This window comes from Homo sapiens, chromosome 9 (genome assembly GCF_000001405.40).
Source record: "Homo sapiens chromosome 9, GRCh38.p14 Primary Assembly".
NCBI classification, from domain to species: domain Eukaryota; kingdom Metazoa; phylum Chordata; class Mammalia; order Primates; family Hominidae; genus Homo; species Homo sapiens.
Window position 1 is genome coordinate 113033061 of NC_000009.12, and position 24521 is coordinate 113057581.

At 38.9% G+C, this 24521-nt stretch overlaps 1 protein-coding gene across 3 annotated transcripts, besides 1 other annotated feature; it reads right to left on the minus strand.

Moving 5' to 3' along the window:
- On the minus strand, positions 5317–23664 carry ZFP37 (ZFP37 zinc finger protein). Of its 3 annotated transcripts, none has more exons than NM_003408.3 (4): positions 23497–23664; positions 16731–16812; positions 16302–16436; positions 5317–11208 (listed from the first exon to the last, which is right to left on the minus strand). In NM_003408.3, the coding sequence occupies exons 1-4, from the start codon at positions 23626–23628 to the stop codon at positions 9665–9667; spliced, it is 1893 nt and encodes a 630-aa protein (NP_003399.1). In that variant the 5' UTR covers positions 23629–23664; the 3' UTR covers positions 5317–9664. The 3 variants fall into 3 exon arrangements, with proteins under 3 accessions (NP_003399.1, NP_001269447.1, NP_001269444.1); NM_001282518.2 differs by having other exon boundaries at positions 16731–16815; NM_001282515.2 differs by having other exon boundaries at positions 16731–16857.
- Positions 23295–23864: an enhancer, noted in NCBI's record as "active region_28832". NCBI's record gives its function as "activates an Ori minimal core promoter by ATAC-STARR-seq in GM12878 lymphoblastoid cells {active_cell/tissue: GM12878}" and the evidence as "EXISTENCE:reporter gene assay evidence [ECO:0000049][PMID:35858748]".

The following is a 24521-nucleotide window of genomic DNA, read 5'->3' on the forward strand; positions in this document are numbered from 1 at the left end:
TGAATTCCTAGTGGACAGTGATCCCTGGGTATAAAGGAGGAAGTTTCCAAGCTACACAAGAGATCAAAAACAAGAGAAATCAAGAAAACAAAAATTGATTACATAAACAAATTTTAAATTCACAGTGGAACCAAAAACAAAGTCAAATTTTAAATTATTATTGAAGAAACACATTTCTTCAGAAAATTATAAAGGGATTGATCAAAAACCCAATAGAAAAAAGGACCAAGAAAGCCCAAGAGGTCCCTGAGGCTTTCCATGGTGCACTGTGCTCCTGGTTAATTGAGAATGGAGAATGGTGATGACTTTTACCAAGCATACTGCCTGTAAACATTTTGTTAACAAGGCACATCCTGCACAGCCCTAGATCCCTTAAACCTTGATTCCATACAGCACATGTTTCTGTGAGCACAGGGTTGGGGCTAAAGTTACAGATTAACAGCATCTCAAGGCAAAACAATTTCCTTAGTACAGATTAAAATGAAGTTTTTTATGTCTTCCTTTTCTACATAGACACAGTAACAATCTGATCTCTCTTTCTTTTCCCTACAAAAACTTTCCTGCACAATGTATGCGTTGAATCAAAGACTTTATATGGTGGTGTGCATCCACTGGGAAGAATACATCAGTCCACTAACCAAGAGATGAGAGTGGGAGTGGAGCCTATTTACCATCACTGCCAATGCCAATTCTAGTAAGAGGCACTAGTCCCTAAAGGGGGCACATTTTCACCAGAGGACACATTGTTAGTCTCAGTAAATTATAAACTATGGCTACTTCCTGGATACTTTGAGCTCTTTGTGTTCAGGGACCAGGAGGAAAGAGGAGGAGTCACTCTCTTGGTACAGGTAAATAACACTGATATCGGTAGGAAATGGACTGCTATCGCACAATGTGGGCAGGGAGAAACACATGTGAAATCTAGTGATTAGTATCTCTCGTCTAATTTTGATATGAATGCACTGGCCCAGCAGCTCTGGACTGAGAAGGGCATAACGACCAATGTCTCAGGTCAGCAGAGTTGATAGCTGAGAATGAATAATGAAGAAGGGAGATGATGAGTTAGTTACCTATTGTGACCCTGAGATCAGTGTAGCAGCAGGGGCCGTGGTTCATCCCACTAATCTCCCTTTTCTAATTCCTCCTCAGGCATAGAGGCATACAGAAATCCTGGAGGAAGTACTTCCCAGACATATACGGATAATTATATCTGAGCCGAGCAAGGAATGGACTGTAATAGACACAGAGTTGCATGCCCAGATTCTCGTTTAAGGAAGGACTTGTTGCCTAGATGACAGGAGTGCCATCAGAAGACAACTTCTAGCTATCAGCTAGTTCACAGTGGGCCTCATCTACAGAGAGCTCCCTTACCTAAAGTCATGCCCTTTGCAAGACAGCCTACATCTTGTGAATGAGCAAGGTGGAGGTATAAAGCTCAAGGCAGGACACTCAGCTGGGGGAAACATTTACTCCAGAGCTCCTCTCCAGGTTGGCAAGGCTTCGTTAGGCTTGCAATAAAATTTCAACTTCTTCCTCTGCCCAATCCTCTTTCTCTCCATTCCTTTCATGGGTGTCGATCTCTAATAAATATCTGATAACTCCAACTCTGTTATTATTTGGATATAGTTTGTCCCCACCAAAATTCATGTTGACATTTGATTCTCAATGTTGTGGTGTTGAGAGATACAGGCTAGAATAGTAGTTGTATGGGTTATGGGGGATGGATCCCTCATGAATGGCTTGGTGCTGTTCTCATAGTGGTGAGTCCTCACTCTCATGAGACTGGATTAGGTCTCACAGCAATGAATTAGTTCCCATGAGAGTGGGTTGTTTTAAAGCCAGGACACCCCTCAGGTTTTCCCCTTTTCATGTATGCACTTCTCCTTAGGACACCCCTCAGGTTTTCCCCTTTTCATGTATGCACTTCTCCTTTGACCTTCTCTGCCATGTTGTGACACAGCACAAAAGCACTTGCCAGAAGCCAGGGCCATGTCCTGGAACTTCTCAGCCAGCAGAACCATGAGCTAAATAAACTTCTCTTTATAAGCAGTTCTTTTCTTTATATATACCCAGCCTCAGACATTCTTTTACAGCAACACAAAAAGTAGTAAGACAAACTCCTTTTCAACACCTGCCTCCAGGGAACTCAAACACAATTTTATTGTGGTCAGATAACATACTCTGTATGATTACAATTATTTTAAATATATTGAGACTTGTCTTGTGCCCCAATGTATTTCCTATCTTAGTGCACATGCCCTGAGCACTTGGAAAAAAAGGTATATTCTGCAGTTGCAGGTTCTATAAACATCAATTAGGTCAAGATCAAGGTTGCTGATAGCGTTCTTCAGATAATCATTGTCCTTACTGATTTTTCTCACTGTTCTATCAATTTCTTAAAGAGGGATATTAAAATCTCCAATTATGATTGTAGAATTGTTAGTGTCTCCCTTTAATTCTTCCAATATCTGCTTCATGTACTTTGGAGCTCTGTTTAGGTGCGTAGACACTTATGAATGTTATGTCTTTCTGTTGAGTTGATCCCTTTATATTTTTAAAGTGTTCCTTTTTATCTCTGCTCATACTAATTATCAAGGATTCTGTTCTGTCTGATATGAATATAGACATTTCAGACATCTTATGCTTACTATTTCTATGGTATATCTTTTTCAATTCATTTACTTTTAACATATCTGTGGTTTCTAAAGTCTGGATGTTGTAGAGATTGGGTCTCACTTTCTTAGCCATTGTGAAAATTTTGTCTTTGAATTGAAATGTTTAGTCCATTAACTTTTAATGTAATTATGGTTAGGGTTGGATTTAGCTCTAACATCTTATTATTTGTATTGTTTGTCCCCTCAGATTTTGTTCCTCCGTATCTCTCTTCATACTTCCATCAGGAACTTTTGAATATTTGTAGAGGTTTATTTTAATTTATTTGTTGTGTTTTGGCTATACCTCTTTGCATTACTCCTTAGTGGTTTCTCTATAGATTGCTTTATACATCCTTGGCTTTCACAGTCTACTTGAAATTAATATTGTACCATATCACATGAAATTTATTTTAAACTTGCTATAAGATAGGTGTGCCCTCCTTTCATTATGTAAACTTGTCATATGTATTGCATTTAATACCTTACATTCCATATAAGATAATAAGTTTTGTTATAAATAATCTGAAATATTTTAAAGAATTTAAAAACAAAAACCAGTCTTTTATATTTATCAACATATTTACCTTTTCTGATACTCATCATTGCTTTCTGAGGTTCCATCTACTATGATTTCCTTTCAACTTGAAGAACCATAGAGTTCTCTGGGTATACATTGTTTTAGTTTTCTTTTATCTGAAAAATGTGATTATTTCACAGTCATTCATGAATAATACTTTTTGCTGGATATAAATTTTGAGGGTGAAGGTTTTTAAATTCAGTTTTGTTTCTTTCCTATAAGAAGGATACAGATACACTGTCTTCTGGCCCTTGTAGTCTTTGATGGTAAGTCACCAGTCGTTTTTATTGTGTTTTGAAATACATTTAATGTGTAATTTTTCTCTGTCCTTGATGATTTTCTTTGGGTATTTTGTTGGTTTCTTTTAAGACAGGGCCCCACTCTGTCATCTAGGTTGGAGTGCAGTGGTGTGATTTTGACTCACTGCACCCCCTGCCTCCCAGGCTCAAGTGATCCTCCCACATCAGCATCCCAAGTAGCTGGAACCACAGGTGTGCACCACCATGCCTGGTTAATTTTTTTGTATTTTTGCTAGAGATGGGGTTTCACCATGTTGCCCAGGCTGGTCTTGAACTCGTGAGCTCAAGTGATCCACCCATCTTGGTCTCCCAAAATGCTGGGGTTTCAGGTGTGAGCCACTGTACCCAGCCCAAGGATTTTCTTTTTATCTTTGTGTTTCAGAAGATTGACTAGGATGTGCCTTATGGGGTTTTTTTTTTTTTTCCACATTTATCCTGATTGGAATTCACTGAGATTCTCAAATCTGTACATTTATATTATTCACCAAATTTGGGGAAATTTCAACCACTATATCGTAAAATATTTTGTGTGTCCCATTCTCTCCTCATGGGATTTCAACTACACTTATCTAAGACATTTTGTTATTGTCCCAAAGGTCACTGAGGTTCTGTTCATTTCTTCTTATTTTTTTACTCATTTGTTTGGGTAATTTCTACTGATCTATTTCAAGTTAACTGGCTCCCCTGTCATTTTTATTCTGCAGGCAAATTTATTCAGTGATTTTTAAATTTCAGTGTATTTACAGTTGTAGAATTTTCATTTGTATTTCTTTGTAGTTTCTATTTGTTTCACTAAGTTTTTTAAAAACTACATTCCTTGTGAGAATTTTTTTTAATTTATTAAGCATAGTTAAAATATCTACCTTAATGTTCTCATATGCTCATTCCATCACCTGGGTTGATTGTCTATTTTCTTGAAATGGGGGGTCATATGTTCTTAATTCTTTGAATGTCAGGCAATTTTTAAAAGTTGTGTCCTACATAACATGAATGGTTAAGATGTGGAGACTCTGGACTCTATTTTGCTCCTCTGCAGAGTGCTAATGTTTTTGCTTCATTAAATAATGAATTTAGTTAAACTCAAACTTCAAACGCTGTCTCTAGGCCAGCAGCACAAATGAAAGCTCAGTTCTTTTGTCCTTAGCGTATCCTATGCGCGCATAGCTCAGGTGTCATCCAGAGACTTGGGCAGCTTATGCACAGAAGTTGGGATGTCCACTCTTTTGAGTTCCTCTTTTCTGATATTCTTCCCTCACTTTCCAGTGACTGTGGTTACCCTGAACTTTGTCCTATGGTTTTTCATGTCAAAAATATTTTTTCTATCAAATTATCCCCCTCTGTTACACTAAATTCAGCCTATCTTCAAGCAAACAGCCTTAAAAATGTGATCTAACCCCCTTCCATTCCTTTCTTCCAAGATTCAACTCTTTCACATAATATGCCTGCTTTTTGTTCATTCTTCAGTACCACTGGATCATTGGGGGGTGTGTGTGTGTGTGTGTGTGTGTGTGTGTGTGTGTGTGTTTGTGTTTTGTCCAGAGTTTATAATTATCTGTGGGAGGGCCATGCCCAGTAGGAATCCACTTGGCCATATCAGAAATATTATTACTAAAAAAAAAATTGATTCATGAAAATATAAAAATTGTTTAGAAAAACACAAAACTTACTCTTAAACCCACGATCCCAGAAGAACCACTATCCACATAATGATAATATGCATTTTTCATCATATGTATTTGTGTGTATAAACAATATCTATATTTAAATTAAAATCCTAATGTGCATATAGTTTTGTAAACTGTTTTTTATTTAGTATTTTAGATGCTACAGGTTGGTTTGTACAACATCCATTTTTCAATGCCCATGTCTCTTTATTTCCTTTACTATGAAGGTTAAGAAATTAAAGATTTGGCCAAATGTGGTAGCTCACACTTTTAATCACAGCACTTTGGGAGGCCAAGGTGGGCAGATCACTTGAGCCCAGAAGTTTGAGACCAGCCTGAGTAACATGGCAAAACTCTGTTTCCACCAAAAAAAAAAAAAAAAAATTAGCTTGGTGGCATGCACCTGTAGTCCCAGCTACTAGGAAGGCTAAGGTGGGAGGAGTGCTTAAGCCTGGGAGGTAGAGATTGTAATGAGCCAAGATTGCACTACTGCACACTCCAGTCTGGGTGACAGAGACTTTGTCTCAAAACAAAATAAAACAAAAAAAGAAAGATTCAATTTCCTCAAGCCACCTGAAACTAGGTGTGGTCATGTGACTCATTTCTGGTCAAAAGATATGAGCACATTCTTCTAGAAGGGGGACTTTGTGGAAAATTTTAATTTTCTTCAATATTGGATTACTCACTTGATGCCTGGAGATGCATCACTCAAACACATTCCTGAGAGTAAAAGTAATAATAAAGAATTATTTGTATCTTCTTAAATATAGTTTGAAATTGTGGTTTTTAATGTCATATTACTCAATTTTTGAAGGAATCATGCTTTATTTAATCAATTAACTAGCAATGTATATGCTATTTCTCTCTGTTCTGCAATAAATATCATAGTACGCCTTGATTGTACAACATAGAATAGATTCCTCGATGGACTGCCGACCATCATAAGGCTTTGATGTATACTGTCAGATTTACATTTTGGTAGGTTGTACAAACTTACACAACTACCAAAAGCAGTGTGTGACAGATTGTTTTCTACCTATCACAAATGTAATTTTTTTTTAAATCTTGATTTAAAAAAATGTTTCCACTTTTTTTCCTCTTCTTTATGTCAGAGGAGTTTAACATCTTTCTCTTCCCACACCCTCAGATTCTAAAAGATATATCCCTGGAATGCTCTTCCGTCATATATATATACATGGTTTGCTCTTTTACCCTCTCTGGGTCTTTGCTTTTGTCACCATCTAAGTAAGCTTACTGCCTGCTTCCCATCACTATATTTAAAATTACATTCCCCAACACTTCCCTCCCCTTCCTTGGTTTGCTTTTTGCCATCCAGTGATCTGTTATACTTTATATTGTAGTTGTTTATTTATTACCTATGTCCTCCTCTAGAATTAAGGTCTATGAGAACAGGGTTTTGTTTTGTTTGTTTGCTTTCTTTTTGTTTTGTAGACTGCTGTATCTCAGGCACTTAGATGATCATATCACTTGAATAAATAAATGTTTCAAAACTGTTAATAATAATTTACTTTTATGCCCCTTCATTTTCTTAAAGAGGATCTGAAAAACAGTTTAAAAATAATTTTTTAAACTTACTTACACCATGATTTAGATTAGTGGTTCTCAAAGGGTGGTCCCCAGACCAGCAGCACAGGAATCCACTGGAAACTTATTAAAATGCAAATTCTCAAGGCCCACCCACAGGGTTTCTGATCCAATATGTCTGTGACGAGGCCCAAGAATTTGCATTCTCAAGTCTGTGTTTTAACAAATCATTCAGGCAATTTTTATGCACACTAGAGTTTACGTATCGATTCAGACTTACCACTGTGTGTCTGTTTTCCTATACTAACCTCCAATTGTATTTAGACATCCTTTCCTCATTCATCAATGCTAACTTTTAATTCATTTTATTACTGCACAAAGTGGCTTTCAGCATTCATTTATATCATTCAGGCATACCTATAATTCTCACTGTCTCAGATGTGGCAATACTATGGGTTCCCCAAGACATGTGGAAATTCAACATAGCCATAACCTGCAACTGTTTCATCCATCTAAAAAGTGCAGGCTTTCTACAGCTCTAGACAGTGATGACTCATTCTGTGCATAGTGCTATATTTCCACTTGTTAAGAAATTACTGGTAGAAATGGCTTTCATATTGCATTTTCTTCCCATGTGATAAATAAGTTACTTGGAAATGAGGGGATATATTCATGAGTTGAGCTTTCAACCCGTGCATGTGTATGCATGTGTGCACATGCACATACACGAACACATATTCCATTCTCAATATATTATATTAACACATTATAATTCTCTGAAATGAGGTCAGGAAGGAAGGAGCTTGAATGATAAATATTTGTAAAGATGGCATTTAAGCACATATTTCTTTGGGGCCCATTATTATGCTAAATTACTGTCTAGGTGAAATATTTACTCAACAGGATTGAACATGACTAGACAAGTCCCGATTACTGCTCATATGTTAGTTCTGAGGAATAAATGAAATAATGTAGGGATTGTGCTTTAAAAAATATAAAAGATAACATGCCAAATTATAATATTTTATATTATGTAAATTAATATTGTATTAAAATAAAGGTATGATGTTTTTGAAAACCATTTCTGTACTTATGTCTCTGCTTTTAGTGTAACAACTTAGATTTCAAAATAGTTCAGAAGTTTTGTGCATTTTTTGTATTTCTTTTTTTTGAGACAGAGCCTCACTCTGCTGCCCAGGCTGGAGTGCACTGTAACCTCCATCTCCTGGGTGCAAGCAACTCTCTTGCCTCAGCCTCCTGAGTGGCTGGGATTACAGGGATTACAGCATGCCCAGATAATTTTTTGTATTTTTAGTAGAGATGGGGTTTCATTGTGTTGGCTAGTCTGATCTCAAACTCCTGGCCTCAAGTGATCCACCCACCTTGGCCTCCCACAGTGCTGGAGATTACAGGCACCCACCATGCCCAGCCAGAAGTATTTTTAATCTATGGCTCAAGAGTAAAAAAAATCCAGGTGTGCAATGGCAAATAGGTCTCCTGTGACAGTCCAAGTTGATGCATAGTACCTTCTGGAATGCACGCTGCACAATGATTCTGAGGCCAACTCTGGGTTCACTCAGAAAGAGTACAGTGATCCAGTAAATAATGCCCAATATTGAGCGAGAACAGGGAGGGGTGACATTTGTTTCATTCGAATTCCCTGATTGAGGTGTTTGTGTGTTAGTTCTTTGAATATGAGATAAAACAGGGTGATTATTCATAAAATCACTTTCATTCACCTGCAATCACAATTCATCATCACCTGCAATCACAATTCAACATCAAAAAATGGCAAATGTAGAAACAGTGCTGTTATAATTCACTATGTTAATGAAAGAACTTGTGTGTGATAGAAAAAGTCTTTATGAATTCAACATCAAGTTTCATACTATATACTTTAGATTCATCATCATTCATGAATAAGCATACAAAGATTTTAACTCTGTCAAAATCTGAGATCTCACATGTTGATCTCACATGTTGTGGAGGGGCTCAGTGACAACCTTAAATAATGTTGATTTATGCATATTAAAATATTTTAATTATAAAAATAATACATGTGCATGATTTAAAAATCCAAATATACAAGGAAGTCTTGCTCCTATCCTAGACCCCAGTCCTATACTCCTCTGCCCAATGGCAACCACCATGAAGTTTATTCTGTATTTTTTCAAAGTCTATTCACATACAGATACATGTATATATGCATACAAAGATACATACACATACAGAGATAAGAGACAGAGGTTAAACAAACATACCCTTTTGTACACAAAGGGGAACATACTATATACATGGTTCAGCAACCTACTTTTTCACACTTCACAATATATCTTGAATATCGCTCCCTACCAGCACATTTGTATCCTCAGCTGCTTTATTTTCTCTCATTTTCCTGTTAACATTTTTTACATATATAACAACCCTTTTAAAAAGATTTCTGCTGATGCAGAAGCCAACACAGACATTAAGAAAGAGCTGGGTGAAAATGTCAAAGAGGCTTATACAGATGGCCACACTCATTTACATAAGGCAATAAACAGATATGCAAATTCAACTCTAATATATGGTGCTTAAGTACAAAACAAGAAGAAACACAGGAACTGTCAGCATATATAACTTGTTTCTCCATTGCTTTGAATATTCAAATAATTCACAATTTTTAAAGCTTTCAATTTCAATCTGAACATGTAGATCATTTATAATAATTGAGTAGTTAAAACAATATTTTTTATAAAAGGTTTTGTATCAAGTTTAAACCCTTGTTTCCATCCACTGATTCTATATGAAGATCCATTTTCAAAGTTTCTCATGTACAACAAGGTGTGACATCTTGCTAAAGGCTTTCTAACACTCTTTAAAATCAGCATATTTCCAAGGTTCAACAAAACCTTAAATTTAGTTAACAAATTTCCCACATTAACTTCACTCATGAGATTTATCTTCTGAATGAGTTTTCACATGTTTGGTTAGGGATGCATTTTGTTTGAAAGTTTTCCCACATTCATTACATTCATAGGGTTTTTCTCCAGTGTGGGATCGCTGATGTATAACAAGCTGTGATTTTGCATTAAAGGCTTTTTCACATTCGTTACATTCATAAGGTTTCTCCCCAGTATGAGTTCTCTGATGTACAATGAGGTGAGACTTTTGGCTAAAGGCTTTCCCACATTCATTACACTCATACGGTTTCTCTCCAGTATGAACTCTCTGATGTTGAGTAAGGCCTTCAATTTGTTTAAAGCCTTTCCCACATTGATTACATTCAAAGGGACTTTCACCTGTATGAGTTCTCATATGGTAAGTAAGAGATGAGCTATGTCCAAAGGCTTTTCCACACTCATTACATTTATAAGGTTTCTCCTTAGTATGAGTTCTTTGATGTATAATGAGGTGTGACTTCTTGCTGAAAGCTTTCCCACATTCATTACATTCAAAGGGTTTCTCACCTGTATGAATTCTCATGTGTTTAGTAAGGGATGAGCTATACTTAAAGGCTTTTCCACATTCATTGCATTCATATGGTATTTCACCTGTATGTGTTCTCACATGTTCGGTAAGAGATGAGTTATACCTAAAAGACTTCCCACATTCCTTACATTCATATGGCTTCTCACCTGTGTGAGATCTCACATGTTGAATAAGGTTTGAGCTGTGTCTGAAGGTTTTCCCACATTCAGCACATTCATAGGGCTTTTCTCCAGTATGAATTCTTAGATGGTCAGTGAGTGCATGTTTATGACCATGGGCTTTGCCACACTGAATACATTCATATGGTTTTTCTCCGGTGTGAGTTCTCTGATGTACAACAAGGTGTGACTTTTGGCTAAAGGCTATCCCACATTCATTACATTCATATGGTTTCTCCCCAGTATGAACTCTCTGATGGTCAATGAGTCCTTGTTTATGGCTGAGAACCTTTCCACATTGATTACATTCATAGGGTTTCACACAAGCTTGAGGTTTTTCATGCTTAGTAGATGAGCTAAGGCTGGGTGATTTCTCATGTTTCTCTCCAGTTTGAATTTTGTCCTGTTTAATATGGGATGAACTATGACAGCATAATTTGTCATGTTTTTTGCCAGTTTTGTTACACTTATCAGATGAGCTATGGCTGGATAATTTCTCATGTTTCTTTCCAGTTTGCTTTTTGCCTTTCCTTGTATCAGATAAGCTATGGTTGAATGACTTCTTGTGTTCTTTAGCTGCATCAGATTTCCTTTTTACACAGTTTCTTGAGTGATCAGGTAAATCTAAATTCTGTTTCAAAATTTTTCCACATGACTCAAATTTAAGAAGCCTTTTCTTTGAAGGAACATGTTTTTTATGCAAATTATTTTTTTTCCCCAGTGAACCACAGTCACTGCCATTCTTCTTAGCTTGAGTTTTCTTCTTGACTGCAACTTCCCTGAGGAGTTTGTTTTGAGATTTCTGGATATTTTCAAGCTGGTCATCATCTTTCTGGACTTCTAAAATGGAATTCAGTGAGATATTCTTGTGAATCTTTGTACTCTTATATTTTGGAATAAAACTGGTAAAGAAATGACCTGTTGTAGGGTTAAATTTTTATTCAAGCCTGGTATACCAATGTGAATGAAACAACTAGGGTGAATGGACTTGAGGGGGAAAATGTTGTAGTAAAAAGAGGTGGGAAAAGTGACAATAGTGATTTTTTAAAGTTTTTGCTGCTTAAAAATATGAGTGAGCAACCTGGGATAGAAGATGAAATAAACACAGGGAGAAGTGAACAGGGAATAGATGGAGTTAAAAGAGCTTATGATTGTAGCTGATACTTTTTGAGGTTTCTTATAAGCCCAAGCTGCCCAGTTCTGATAACTCCCAAGCTGGCCATAATATATTGCTCCTGCAGCCTATACTATATTACCCCAATTCTCCATGGGCACAGTTGGAGACAAATCTGACTCAAACCAAGATGTCCAACAAGATTCTTTCTTCTAACAAATTTGACTCCAGTTAGTCTCCACTTGGTACTTAAATTTAGAAATTATATAAAGCAGGTACTAGTAAACCATATTTTCTCTACGTAAACAGAAAGCTCGTCAAGTCAAAGTATGAACCATCCACACACCGAGAAGCAGAGACATAAGAACTGCGTCTTTAAAGAGATCATTTGCACAATTTCAATTCCCAATGGCTTCCTAGTTCCTTCCTAGTTCCTATTTCTAGTCCCTGGTGAGGACTGGCTGAACTATCTTGCCCTTAGCTTGTAAGGGATGTACCCAGGTCCTTATCACAAATTCCTGTATTTACTGAAGCTAGCTAACATAAACTTTTGTTATTATATCCAAAAAAGCCAGAAAAGAAAAATAAAGTGAGTCCACCAAGAAGTACTGATGAGCTGATAAGTGGCTAAGAGAATAAATAGGAAAGGTTATCCACTTTATACTACTCATGGTGAATTTTTCTTGTAGTGCTTAGATCTTTTCCTGCTGACATATCTTTTCCTTTCTATTGCTACCACTGAAATGACCCCTAAAATGATATTCTTGTACTTTAAAAATCCCTAGTTTCTCTAAATTACCTGATGCTTTCATCAAATGATAAAATTCATAGTAATTAGCTTAGCAAACAAACTTTACTCAATCTGATTTGTAGTGTACATCCAACCTTGTTTTGTTTTCCAATAGTTTGCTATGGAATATATATTTGTTCTTTTCAGGTCTTTCTAATTGTCAGTTATAAATTTTAAGTTTATTCCCAGCTCTAAGTGGTTGCTCATATTCTTTCTGCCATACATTATACACTTACACATTTTGAGATGTCTTCTTAATCCCTGCTTCCCTTCTCTGAGACCATTACCCACACTGAAAGCTGTGGGCCACTATGTTTGTATTACATAATCCAAATTCTGGCTAAAAACAATTGATTGGACCGTGGTAAACACCAGGTAGTCCAATAATATTCTTTTGCCTAAGAACCTGAAATTGAAATTTATAGACTTCTGTTAGCTAGCTATGGATACTACATGTATAAAAACCTATAATCTTAAGAGCTGGGGCCACCATTTAGGGGTGTCATTTTTCAGCTACATGCTATAGCATGGAATAGCAGAAAAAGCTTCAGAGTGAGAATTAAACAGTCTTAGAGAGAAGCAGATATAAAAATCCCCATGACTTCAGAGAGAAAGAAGCAGGAAGTGAATAGCCACCTTGATGGTAAAGAAACATTACACTGAGAAAGTGAAAACTGGACTCAAACCAAAAAGAGTTACGGTATCTGAATGGATAGAAAGGAAATATTATTACTTTTATAAAGGACATTAGAGAGATTAATTCCCATGTTGCAGAAGATCAGTTTTTGAAAAATAAAATATATATCTGTCTATATATATAGACAGATATATATCTATATATAGACAGATATATATCTATATATGTAGACAGATATATATCTATATATAGACATATATCTATATATATATAGACAGATAAATATCTATATATATACAGGCAGATATATATCTATATATATATTAGGGAGTCTAGAGAAGTGCAGTTGCTGGCTGCTTTTTCATTTAGGAAATTTTAAGTGATGCAGAGAGTATAACAAACTTTTAGGTACCATGACAAGGCTGTGTCTTTCAATGCCCAAGGATGATGGAAAACATTGAGGAAAAATTTCCTTCTGGAAAGAAAGGAATCAAAACTGAAAACTTTCCCCTTGACATGTAATATTATAAGAACCTTTACAATGATGAATTTGGCTGGTCCCAACTGATATCTGCCGGCAGGAAAAGACATAAGATACTACAAGAAAATATCACCATGAAGGAAAGGAGGAGAATTTGAACGAGTAAATTGGTATAGTAATATGGGTCTGGAAGAGCAATTGACTATGGCTGGAAGTTTTTCCTGAATTTGAGACAGTAACTAAAACATAAATGCTAAGCTAAAACAACTGTAACTTCAGAAACAAATATGGAGCTCACTTGGCCCAGCAAATTATTGGAGAGAATAGAACAGTCCTTCTTTGAAGAGCCTCCTAAGTAGTATATAAGAACCTGAACTGGCCGGGCGCAGTGGCTTAAGCCTGTAATCCCAGCACTTTGGGAGGCCGAAGCGGGTGGATCACAAGGTCAGGAATCGAGACCATCCTAGCTAACACGGTGAAACCCCGTCTCTACCAAAAACACAAAAAAATTAGCTGGGCGTGGTGGTGGGCACCTGTAGTCCCAGCTACTTGGGAGGCTGAGGCAGAAGAATGGTGTGAACTCGGGAGGAGGAGCTTGCAGTGAGCCGAGATTGCGCCACTGCACTCCATCCTGGGCTACAGAGCCAGACTCCGTCTAAAAAAAAAAAAAAAAAGAGAACCTGAACCAAGAAGAGAGTCACTGTAGCAATTATAAAGATGTATTAAGTGACTCAGGATTGTTTTTTAGCTGTAATTTAAGATGTCAACAAGAAAAGTAAGGATAGCCAAAACTGGAGCCATTAATGGATGAATCAGAAACTCCATTGAGTCTCTTCATTTGTCATTTGAAAGACTGGTTCCTCTGGTCTCAGGGAATTCATACAGTCTTGGACAATTCGGGGTCAAAAGAAACTTAAAAGACATAGCAGATATTCTGCTATTAATAATTTGGGGACTATGGTAACATAAATAATAACTGAATATTTTAATGTTTGGTGGTAACATGTAAGATCAATTAAAGCTGGGCATGGTGGCTCACACCTGTAATCCCAACACTGGGAAGCTGAGGAGGGAGAACTGCTTGAGACCAGCAGTTCAAGACCAGCCTGGGCAACACAGCAAGACCCTGTCTCTATGAAAAAAAAGAGAAAAAATTAGGGAAAAAAATGGATTTAGCAAATTTACCTAAGAATTGGAAAAATTAAGTATGAGATAATATGAACCTGATTTGTGTGATGACACTGAAAATTGAGAAAAAGAACCAGAAACTGAAGACAGGATAGTAACTCTATGGGAGACAGTCCTATAATCAGAGCACACCCTGATAAAAACAGGGAAGATGAAAAGAACCTCTAATTTAGAGAGAAAGACAAAGCTTTCCATTTCTGATATCCTAAGAATAAGCTGTTGTTTAAGTAGGTCAAATATGAGTATAAGACAAAGGAATTGGAGCTGCCCATTTGGAAGTCACGAGTGTAGAATAAATAGCTTTTATTTGCACAATGAATAATCAATACAATTTTAAAGAAGAACAGATGGTAGAAGACAAAACCTTAGGGACACCTCAGCAAAATGAGAAGGAAGAGAAGCTAGTAAGTAAATGATAAAGAAGCACTTAGAAGATAAGATCTGATTCAAGTTGTACAATTCAAACTGGGTAAGTGAGAACTTCAAGCTAACAAAAACGATTAAAGTATGCACTGAAAAGTAAGCAGTGGTGATCTTAAAGTCAGAAATTTAGATAGAGGCATGAATTCTGTGGGATTTGACTGCAGGAGTTAAGGAGAAAATGGAAATGATGATGTGCTATAGATCATGGGTCTAGAGAATTTCCTAGTGAAAGGAGAGAAACGGAAATAACTCAGGGCAGGAGCATCATGCCAAGACATTTGCAAAGAGGGCAGATCTAAGAATGTCCAATACATAGGAGAAAATTTGATACCGTAGGGTCTCGGAGTATGGGTGGAGAAAAGGAGAAAAGCTGAGGATATTAGGAAAAGGGAGGATGCTTTTTTTAAAAAGCACTGATTTATATAAGGTAAGCAGGAGTGGGATCGAGAATAGCTAAGAGGGTCACTGCTCCTTCTGAAGACTGAGCAATTGAGCACAGGAATAAGGATATGTGGCTATATGGAAGGGTCAGTTAGGCATCTGAGGGGCTGGTACCAAGTTTCAGAGCCTTGATTTTCACCTTTTATCCTACCACAACCTGAGTGGTGTGACAGATAGTATTATTGCTTCCTGTGGCAAGATTATACCTCCCAGCCCCTTCCAAATGCATAGCCTTTTGAATTATAGCGCACTTCCCAGTGGAAGGATTATACGTTCCTACCATGTTGAACTCAGGAGTGGCCAGATGGCCTGCTTTGACTAATAAAATATGAGCTGAAAGGGATATCTACAACTTCCAAGCAGTGACTTTAAGAGTTACCATGTGGTTCCACTCACCCTGTTTTTTTTTGCCTCTGCCATGAGACCAGAATTTGCTAAATGGAGAATGCTCTTTCAGCATAGGTCCCCAAATAAAGATAATATGGAATAGGGCTGTGGCTTGAGCAAGCAATCAATTTTTCTTATTGTAAGTAACTAAAATTTCAGGGGCTCATTCCTTCATGGAGCAAAACTGAGTGGAAATTGACTGATACAGGTGATATAACCAAACTCCCGTAGTTAACACTAGCTCACTACTATAGCGAACCTCACAAAGAACCTCTCATGTGAACAAGTTCATAAAAGGAAGAGATATTAGAATCTCTCAGGTTACAGAATCTTTGTAGTTTGAAATATTCTTTCCTCAGGAAATCCTGATTTTTTCTATTGCTATTTTCTAGTTAAGAAAGAAAGGTCTAGGATCTTTAAGAAGAATTTCAGAATAAATTATTTGCTGAAAAATTTCAAAGTTACAACTTACTTCCATCAGTTTCTTTTTGCTTGGGTCTTGCTATTTTACTTGGACAACCTTGACTGGGTCTTTTCCCCTTCCCCAACCATGGTGCTTCTCCTTTTTCCAACTTGGAGATCATGTCTGGTTTGGGAGCTTGACACCCTGCTCATGAGAAATAGCAGAAACTGAGTGTTAGAACAACCATCCCAGAAATGAAGCCGCAGCATTTGTACTTCAGGGCCTAAAGAATACATGGCTTCTGGAGTTTCACAATATGAATGCCAGGTCAGCTAAATAGACCTTCCATTTTGGAGGCAGGGGCACAAATATCCTGCCTAGTACCCAAAAAAGAAGAAAGCCCTTTGACCCACAAAAATGAAGGCCAAACTTATCAAGGACTCCAGAGAGAAGGTATCACAGTGGACACATTTTGAATTACAAAGGAATTGTTCTTACCCATTGAGGCTTGGTTGCAGTAGTTCTCCAGCATCACATCATTATACAGGTTGCTCTGAGCAGGATCCAGTTGCTTCCATTCCTTCTGGGTAAAGGCCATAGTCACATGTTTGAATGTTACTGATACCTGTGATAGCATATTCCTGTTCATGCTAATGTTATCCACATTTGGTGAGTGATTTGGACAAGATAATAATTTGTTCTTACCTTGACTACTCACTGTTGATCATGATATTATAAAGGATACCTATTCTCTACTCAATTTTTCATTATTTTGAGAAACAAAAACCATATTAAGAAATGTCCCTACTGAGCTAGGCATAGTGGCTCATGCCTGTAATCCCAGCACTTTGGGAGGCTAAAGCAGGAGGATTGCTTGAGCTCAGGAGTTTGAGACCAGCCTGGGCAACATGGCAAAACTCCATCTCTACAAGAAAATACAAAACGTAGCTGGGCATGGTGGTGCATGCCTGTAGTCCCAGCTACTCAGGAGGCTGAAGCAGGAGGATCACCTGAGCCCAGGAGGTCAAGGCTACAGGGAGCTGAGATCACACCACTGCACTCCAGCCTGGCTGAGAGAGTGAGACCCTGTCTCGACAAACAGAAATGTCCCTATTGTGAATTTATTTATTCAAGAGGATAGAATCACGTGCATATCGGAGAGAAAGACAAATAGCCAAAAAAAAAAAAAAAAAAGAAAAAAGGAACAGAATCAATCTTTGTCTCCTCTTCTATAACAGGGGATGCTAAAAGGCTATTGAGCAGTATTTATAGTTCTGAGGTAGAAGAATTGAGACCCTTGATTTTTGTAACCAGTCAAAGAAATCATTTATGGGCCAGGTGCAGTGGCTTATGCCTGTAATCCCAGCAATTTGGGAGGCCAAGGCAGGTGGATCATGTGAGGTCAGGAGTTTGAGACCAGCCTGGCCAACATGGTCTCTATTAAAAATACAAAAATGAGCCAGGCATGGTGGCAGGCACCTGTAATTCCGGCTACTTGGGAGGCAGAGGGAGGAGAACTGCTTGAACCCAGGAGGTGGAGGTTACAGTGAGCCAAGATCAAGCCATTGCTCTCCAGCCTGGGCAACAGAGACTCCATCTCAAAAAAAAAAAAAGTTATTTATGTTTGGCAGCAAAAGTAAGATATTGTAGGCATGTAAGAATGCAGAATGTACACTACCAATGTTCTTTAGAAATAAAGGAGAAAGTTGGGGAGAAATAGAGGAAGGGGGAAGGGGAGGAGAAAGAGGAAAAGCAGCAGAAAAAGAGAATGAATGATTTTTAAAAGAAGTAAAAATGGATCAGAATAAAGATTTCAAAATTGGGAAAGACTTAATATGCAAGACAGAGCTATGAAAAATACAACCAGTAAAATGTCTAGTTAAATCTAAGTAACTTGATAATGTGCTTGTACAACTGTTATGAAAGTATCCTTAAAATCAAGAGGTATGATATTAAAAAATAAGCAGAACCCTAACTAGGGGGGTGGGAGTAGGGAAGAAATTAAAGTATGTTGAAGTCCTCTTATTAGGCAGGTGGGGGAGGACGGCACAGCTATTGGAGAATTTTGATACTAATAAATATATTCAAACATGTTTGTCTAACATTTAAAGATAATCCCTTATCCTTACAGGCAACCAAATTTTTTTTCCTTCTTTTTTTTGCAGTGGGGTGGGGGAGCAGATAAAGTCTCACTCTGTTGCCCAGGCTGAAGTGCAATAGCGTAATCATAGCTCACCGACACCTTGAATTCCTGGACTCAAGCAATTCTCCCACCACAGCCTCCCAAGTAGCTGGGACTATAGGCAAGCAACACCCATGCCTGACTGATTTTTAAATTTTTTTGTAGAGACAGGTTCTTGCTATGTTGCCCAGGCTGGGCTCAAACTCCTGGGCTCAAGCAATCCTTCCACCTCAGCTTCCCAAAGTGCTGAGATTACAGATGTCAGCCACTGTGCCTGGCCAGACCACCATTCAATTACCTGCAAAAGTCATCAAATTAGCCCCACAGACCTGTAGTCACTGACTACCAATAATTTCCCATCATTGATTGTCACTGGCCTTCCAATCACTGAGCTGATACAGACAGCCTTGCCTAATTACTGGGCCTATAGTTCCAAAATGACTGGGTAAAGCAAACCTCCCAATCAGTAGCAGCAGCAGATCTCCCCAGCCACTTGCCCCCACAGACACTCCAATCACATATTCTCACAGGTTCCTCAACCAATGATACCCACAGGACACTGGTAATCTATCTCCTATTACCCCAAATCCCTCATCTTATCAATCCCCAATCACTAAACAGAATTCTCAAGCAGTGGCCTTTATAGAAACTCTAATTACTGCCAGCAAATTCCACTCCTCCCTCAACCTCTTTAGCCACTCCCTTCATTTGCATGCTTCACCTGAAATCTACCTGTCTCCTGAGGATCCTGCTTCCTTATAGGAGCCTCAGAGGAGTGGAGGCTGTCTTTCCTGCACCACCCCTCTCCCTGCCATGACCCATGTACCTCAGGGTCTAAAGATGAGGTAAATGATTACTTTCAACAATTTCTCATTCTTCCTTCAAAATTCATAGCTTATTTATAGTATCACCAGGTTTTCAGCCATTAACCCTTCTGGGTCCGGTGATTTGCTAGGAGGACTCACATGACTCAGTATATAATTGTACTCATAGCTATTATTTATTGTAGCAAAAGTGTACAAAGTCAGTTAATCAGCATGAGGTAAAGTCCACAGGACACCAGGCACCAGCATCCATGAGTCCTCTCCCAGTGAAGTCATATAAAACATGCTTAATTCCTCTGGAAATGAGTTATAATAACATGTATGAAATGTTGTCTACTAGGGAAGCTCATTAGAGACCAGTACTGCCTAGGGGTTTCACTGGGGGCTGGTCAAGTAGGCACTCTCTGCCTGCATGTACAAAAATTCCAGACTCCCAGAAGAAAGCAGGTGTTCAGCATAAACCACACTGTGTATTCTTTAAGCACTCGGAACTACTCTTAATCAGTTCCAGGAATGGTGGGATCCTTCCTGAAATCTAATTTCCCAGATGACAGCAAAAAGCAGACCTTGCAGCAGGCCTGTCTAAGGATAGCAGTTTTTCACTTCTATGTTAACTCTGTTCTGCAGTCATCCCACCCAATTCACTGAAAACTTTAGCACCAGCTAAATTCCTGCCATAATGCTGCACTACCTCCGTATCAACGTGGAAGAGCCATTCAACACCCTTGCCTCTCTTTTTCATGAGGTCAGCAACCTCTTCTTCCACTCAAATTCAGCCACCTATTCATCAATTATCTGCACTTACACCTTGCCATCACTGTACCACCTGCAAAAATCTCTAAGACATTCCGCCCTCTGACCATCATTTCCTATCCTGCTACTTTTTCTAGTACTTTCACTCCAATAATTCTCCAAACTCATTGAGCCCTCTGATCCTAACCACTTTTTCACAATCTTCCACCTTTACCTAGCCTTTCTTTCTTGTTCAGATTCCTTGTTCTAGCACCATACACAATCAATTAAAAACTATAAAGTTTTAACTTCCTTGATTCTCTTCTTCTCCACTGTACTCACCTGTCAAAGCCTCAACCTTGGTTAAATCCAACTCTCCTCTTAATCTCTGCCTGAAACCTTGCAACTGAACATTGCAAGAGAAAAATCAAACTGCTGAGTGGACTAACTTCAAATTTATAACACACATGCCAAATGGACACCTAATCCTGTCAGTAGTCCTACTACCTAACCCTAGAAAATACACCTTTCCTTTTTCCTAGGTGATTATTTTGAACATTCTCCTTTTTAACTCTGAAAACTCCAACATCTACTCCTTTCCCACTCTTGGCTGATGAATTTGCTTTATGCTTTCAAGAGAAAATAAATCCAAATGGACAAGAATTACCCTGTCTTGTTACCACCAATTCCAGCAACCTGTTTCCAAACTCATATACAATATACCTTCTCTTCTGTTAAAATGGAAAGTCTTCCTTCTCTCACCTAAGGCCAGTTTCTCCATTTGTGCTCTCAATCCCATCCCCAACTGCCTTCCCAAAGACTTCACTCCTGCAAGTACCTCTTTCTGTTTTGTAACATCTGTGTCTCCCTTTTATTTGGGTCATTCCCATTGACACACAGAGTTGTCTTAATATCATTCATCTAAAGAAAACCCCCTCTTGATTTCATATCCTATACAACGTCCATTTCTCTGCTTCCTTTACCAGCAGAACTCCTCATAACTGTTGCCTATACTTGCTGTTTCCACTTCATTACCTCTCATTCTTTCAACTCACTCTAACAGGATATTATCCCCTTAACTCCAATAAAAGAGTTCTAATCAATCAAAATAACCATTGAGCTACATACTGACAAAATCAAATGATCTCTAGTCCTGCTTTTAGGACTCAAAAGCATATATGACAATTGATTACTTCTATTGTCTTGAAAGGCTTTCTTCTCTATGCTACTTTGACACCCACTTGCACAGTTTTCCTCTTACTTCAATGGGCACCCCTTATTCTCTCTGTTGTTTTTTGTCTTCTACCAGACTTTTAAATGTCAGAGTGACCCAGCCCTCTGTCCCTGGCTCTCTTCTCTTCCCTATCTGTCTTCTCTTCCTAGGTGACCCGAGCCAATCTTAAGGCTTTAAATACCATCTTTATTGTGATGCATTTCAAAAATGGTTCCCTAGCTCACCCCTTTCCTAAGTTCCAGATTCATATATATAGTGGCTACCCAATATCTCTAGGTAGATGTGCAATGAGCATTTTGACACGGCCAAAATAGAGCCACTGACATCACCCCAGATCCCATTTCCATCCACCAAATCTAGTCTTTTCCACCATAACCCTTTCCATTCAGAAAATAGAATCACCATCCATCCGGTTCTTCAGGTTAAAAGTCTAGATGTAAATCTCGATTCTTCTCTTTCCTCATACTCCATATATCAATACATTAGTAAGTTCTATTGCTTATCTCCAGATGTATTCTGAATTTGATTTCATTTTGCTGCTACAACTCTATTCTAAATCACCATAATCTCTTGTCTTTGACTATTGCAAAAAGTTCCTAACTGACCTCCCTATATCTACCTACTCTTGCCCCTCTGCAGTCCGTCTTCCATGAGGTAGCCATGGTGATCTTTTCAAGGTGTCAGTCAGAACAGATCATTCCCCTGCTTAAACTCAATGGCTTCTCACTGCATCTAGAATAAAATCCAAATCCTTACACTAGCCAATAAAATCCTACATTATCTGATACCTTCCTACCACTATGATTCACAGCTTTCTACTTTCCCTCTGACTGTGCTCCAACAGCACTAATCTTCCTTCTCTTTTTTAAGCACACCAAGTTTACTCCTACCCCAGGTCCTTTGCAGTTGATGTTTATTTCTTCCTGAAACACTCTTTCTTCAGATCTCTGCATGGCTGCCTCCTTGTGATGATTTATGCCTCAACCCAACTGTCATTTGCTAAGGAAAGCTTTCCATGACTAACCTGGCTAAAGTCATGCACTCCCTACCCTCAATCACTCTGTACCACACCATCCTCTTTTACTTACTTCAGCACTTATTAGTGTCTGGAATAATTTTATTTGTTTATATTTTATGATATCTTTCATATTTCTATAATGTAAGTCATTGAGGGAGGGATTCTGGTTTTGTTTCCTGGTGTGTCTCCAGCATTTAAAACATTCCCTGGTTTTGAGGACAAAGCAGGGACTGCAAAACAACAACACCAAACAAATAAAATAAAAAATACCCCCTGGCATAAAATAAATGCTCATCTTACAGACTGTTCCTACTGTTCCTGCAAGTTTTCAATCACTGACACCCAAATACTCCCCAATCACTAACCTTCACAAACTTCTCCCAATTATGGATCTCTGCAAGTTCCCAACTATCACTCTCCACAGAACAATCATTAACCTCCACAGATCTCCAATCACTGACCACCAAAGAACCCTCAATCATTAAATGCAGCAATCCCCTCAAACTCCTGACCCCCTTAGACTTCTAGTCACAGAATCATAGAGGATCTTCAATCATTAATTCCTACTAATCACCTCATTACTCAAAGCACAGTTATTACTGCTAGACACCACCTAATTATTGACCTGCATACATCCCCAATTACCTTTTCTCCCCAGATGACATACAAATCATCTACCATCCCCAGAGACACCTCAACATTGACTCCCCAAACTCCAACAGTCATATTCCCCCCTCACTGGCCCCCCGATTCCTCCATTACCCACTGACCCTCAAAGATACTGCTAATCAAACTTCCACAGACATCACCGTCACTGACTCCCAAGCCCCAATCTCTGATGCTCCCAGATGCTCCCAATCACTGAATTTCCCAAATCCTAACACTGACCCTCTTTGATAACCCAGGCTCTAACCACCACAGGCACCCATAATCGCTGGCTCCCATAGACATCCCAAACCGCCAACCCCCACGGTCCTTCCCTATCTCTGACACATCACAAAGCCTCCATTTCTGATCTCCTTCCAAACTCCGACACTCGGTGACTGCCACAGACGCCTCCCCATCATTGTCTCTGCAGATCCCTCCTAATACTGATATCCTAAAGCCAAATCATTAACCCCACAGATAACTCAGAACACCGACCTCCCAAAAGACCATCTAGCATCGATTCCACCAATTCCCAAATCACCTATCGTCACAGACTACTCCAATCACTGCCCCGCAAGTACACCATCTCTGACCGCCAAAACACCCTGTCTCATCACAGCTCTCACCGCGGCGCTGGCCTCGGGCTCGGACACAGCCATCTCCAGTGGTCGCCCGGCCTCTTTGGTCGTTTCCGCACTTCTCCTCCGGTCCACGGTCTCTGGCTTTGTCAGAATCTGGACGCCGCTGGAGACCGACATGGCGGCTACCCGGAGGGCGGCCTTAGCGGGTCCGGCAGCCGCGATGGCGGCGCCCTTCGGTAATAGCGCACGGGCGCGGCCATCTTGGCAAACACTCAGCCGTACAGCGGAAGTGCGGGGACTTCTGGGACAATTAGATCGGGAGGTGGAAGCTGGCGAGGGCGTTACTTGCAGGATGCAGGAGTGATGCGATCAGAGCCAGCCGGAACCGAGTTCCGTTACGCACTACAGGACTGACCTGGGCCTGACAACCCACTGCCGGAGTTCGGATCGCATCACTGCCGGAAGATATTTTACAGAATTTGGAATTGCTTTTCCGAATACATGTCAGTGCGGCCAGCGGCTAGAAGTCCGGGAATCACAACGCTTAGTGCGGACTTTAGAAAGGCAGGATGCGAGAAATTGGAAGCATAACGGAGAAAAGCCTGATCGAACAAATAACATTATTTTATAGGGAGAGGACGTTAATCTTTGAGATATACGATAAATCTTTTCATATATAGTATAAGAACAATAAGAAAAACTGAAACAGAAACTTAAGTAAACACACCACTCCTCCGTGAGAGCCCGGGTTTGGTGAAGATATTTCACCAGAATAATCAAGCACTTGGAGAAATAATTCCTTAATGCGCCATTTCATGCATTAATTGCATTCATTGAATATGTGCAGGTTAGGTGCTGCGCTATGCAAGGTACTGGAAAAAGAGTGGAGAGGGGTAGGGATGATGTAAGTCCAGAGTCCAAAGGCCAGAAAACCAGGGTCTCCAATGTCAAAAGGCAGAAGATGAATGTCCCAGCTCAAGAAAAAAGAAAAGGTGGGAGGGAAGTGGGGATACTTAACGGGTTTTTAAAAAAAAAGAAAAGAAAGAAGGAATAAGACCTAGTATTTGATA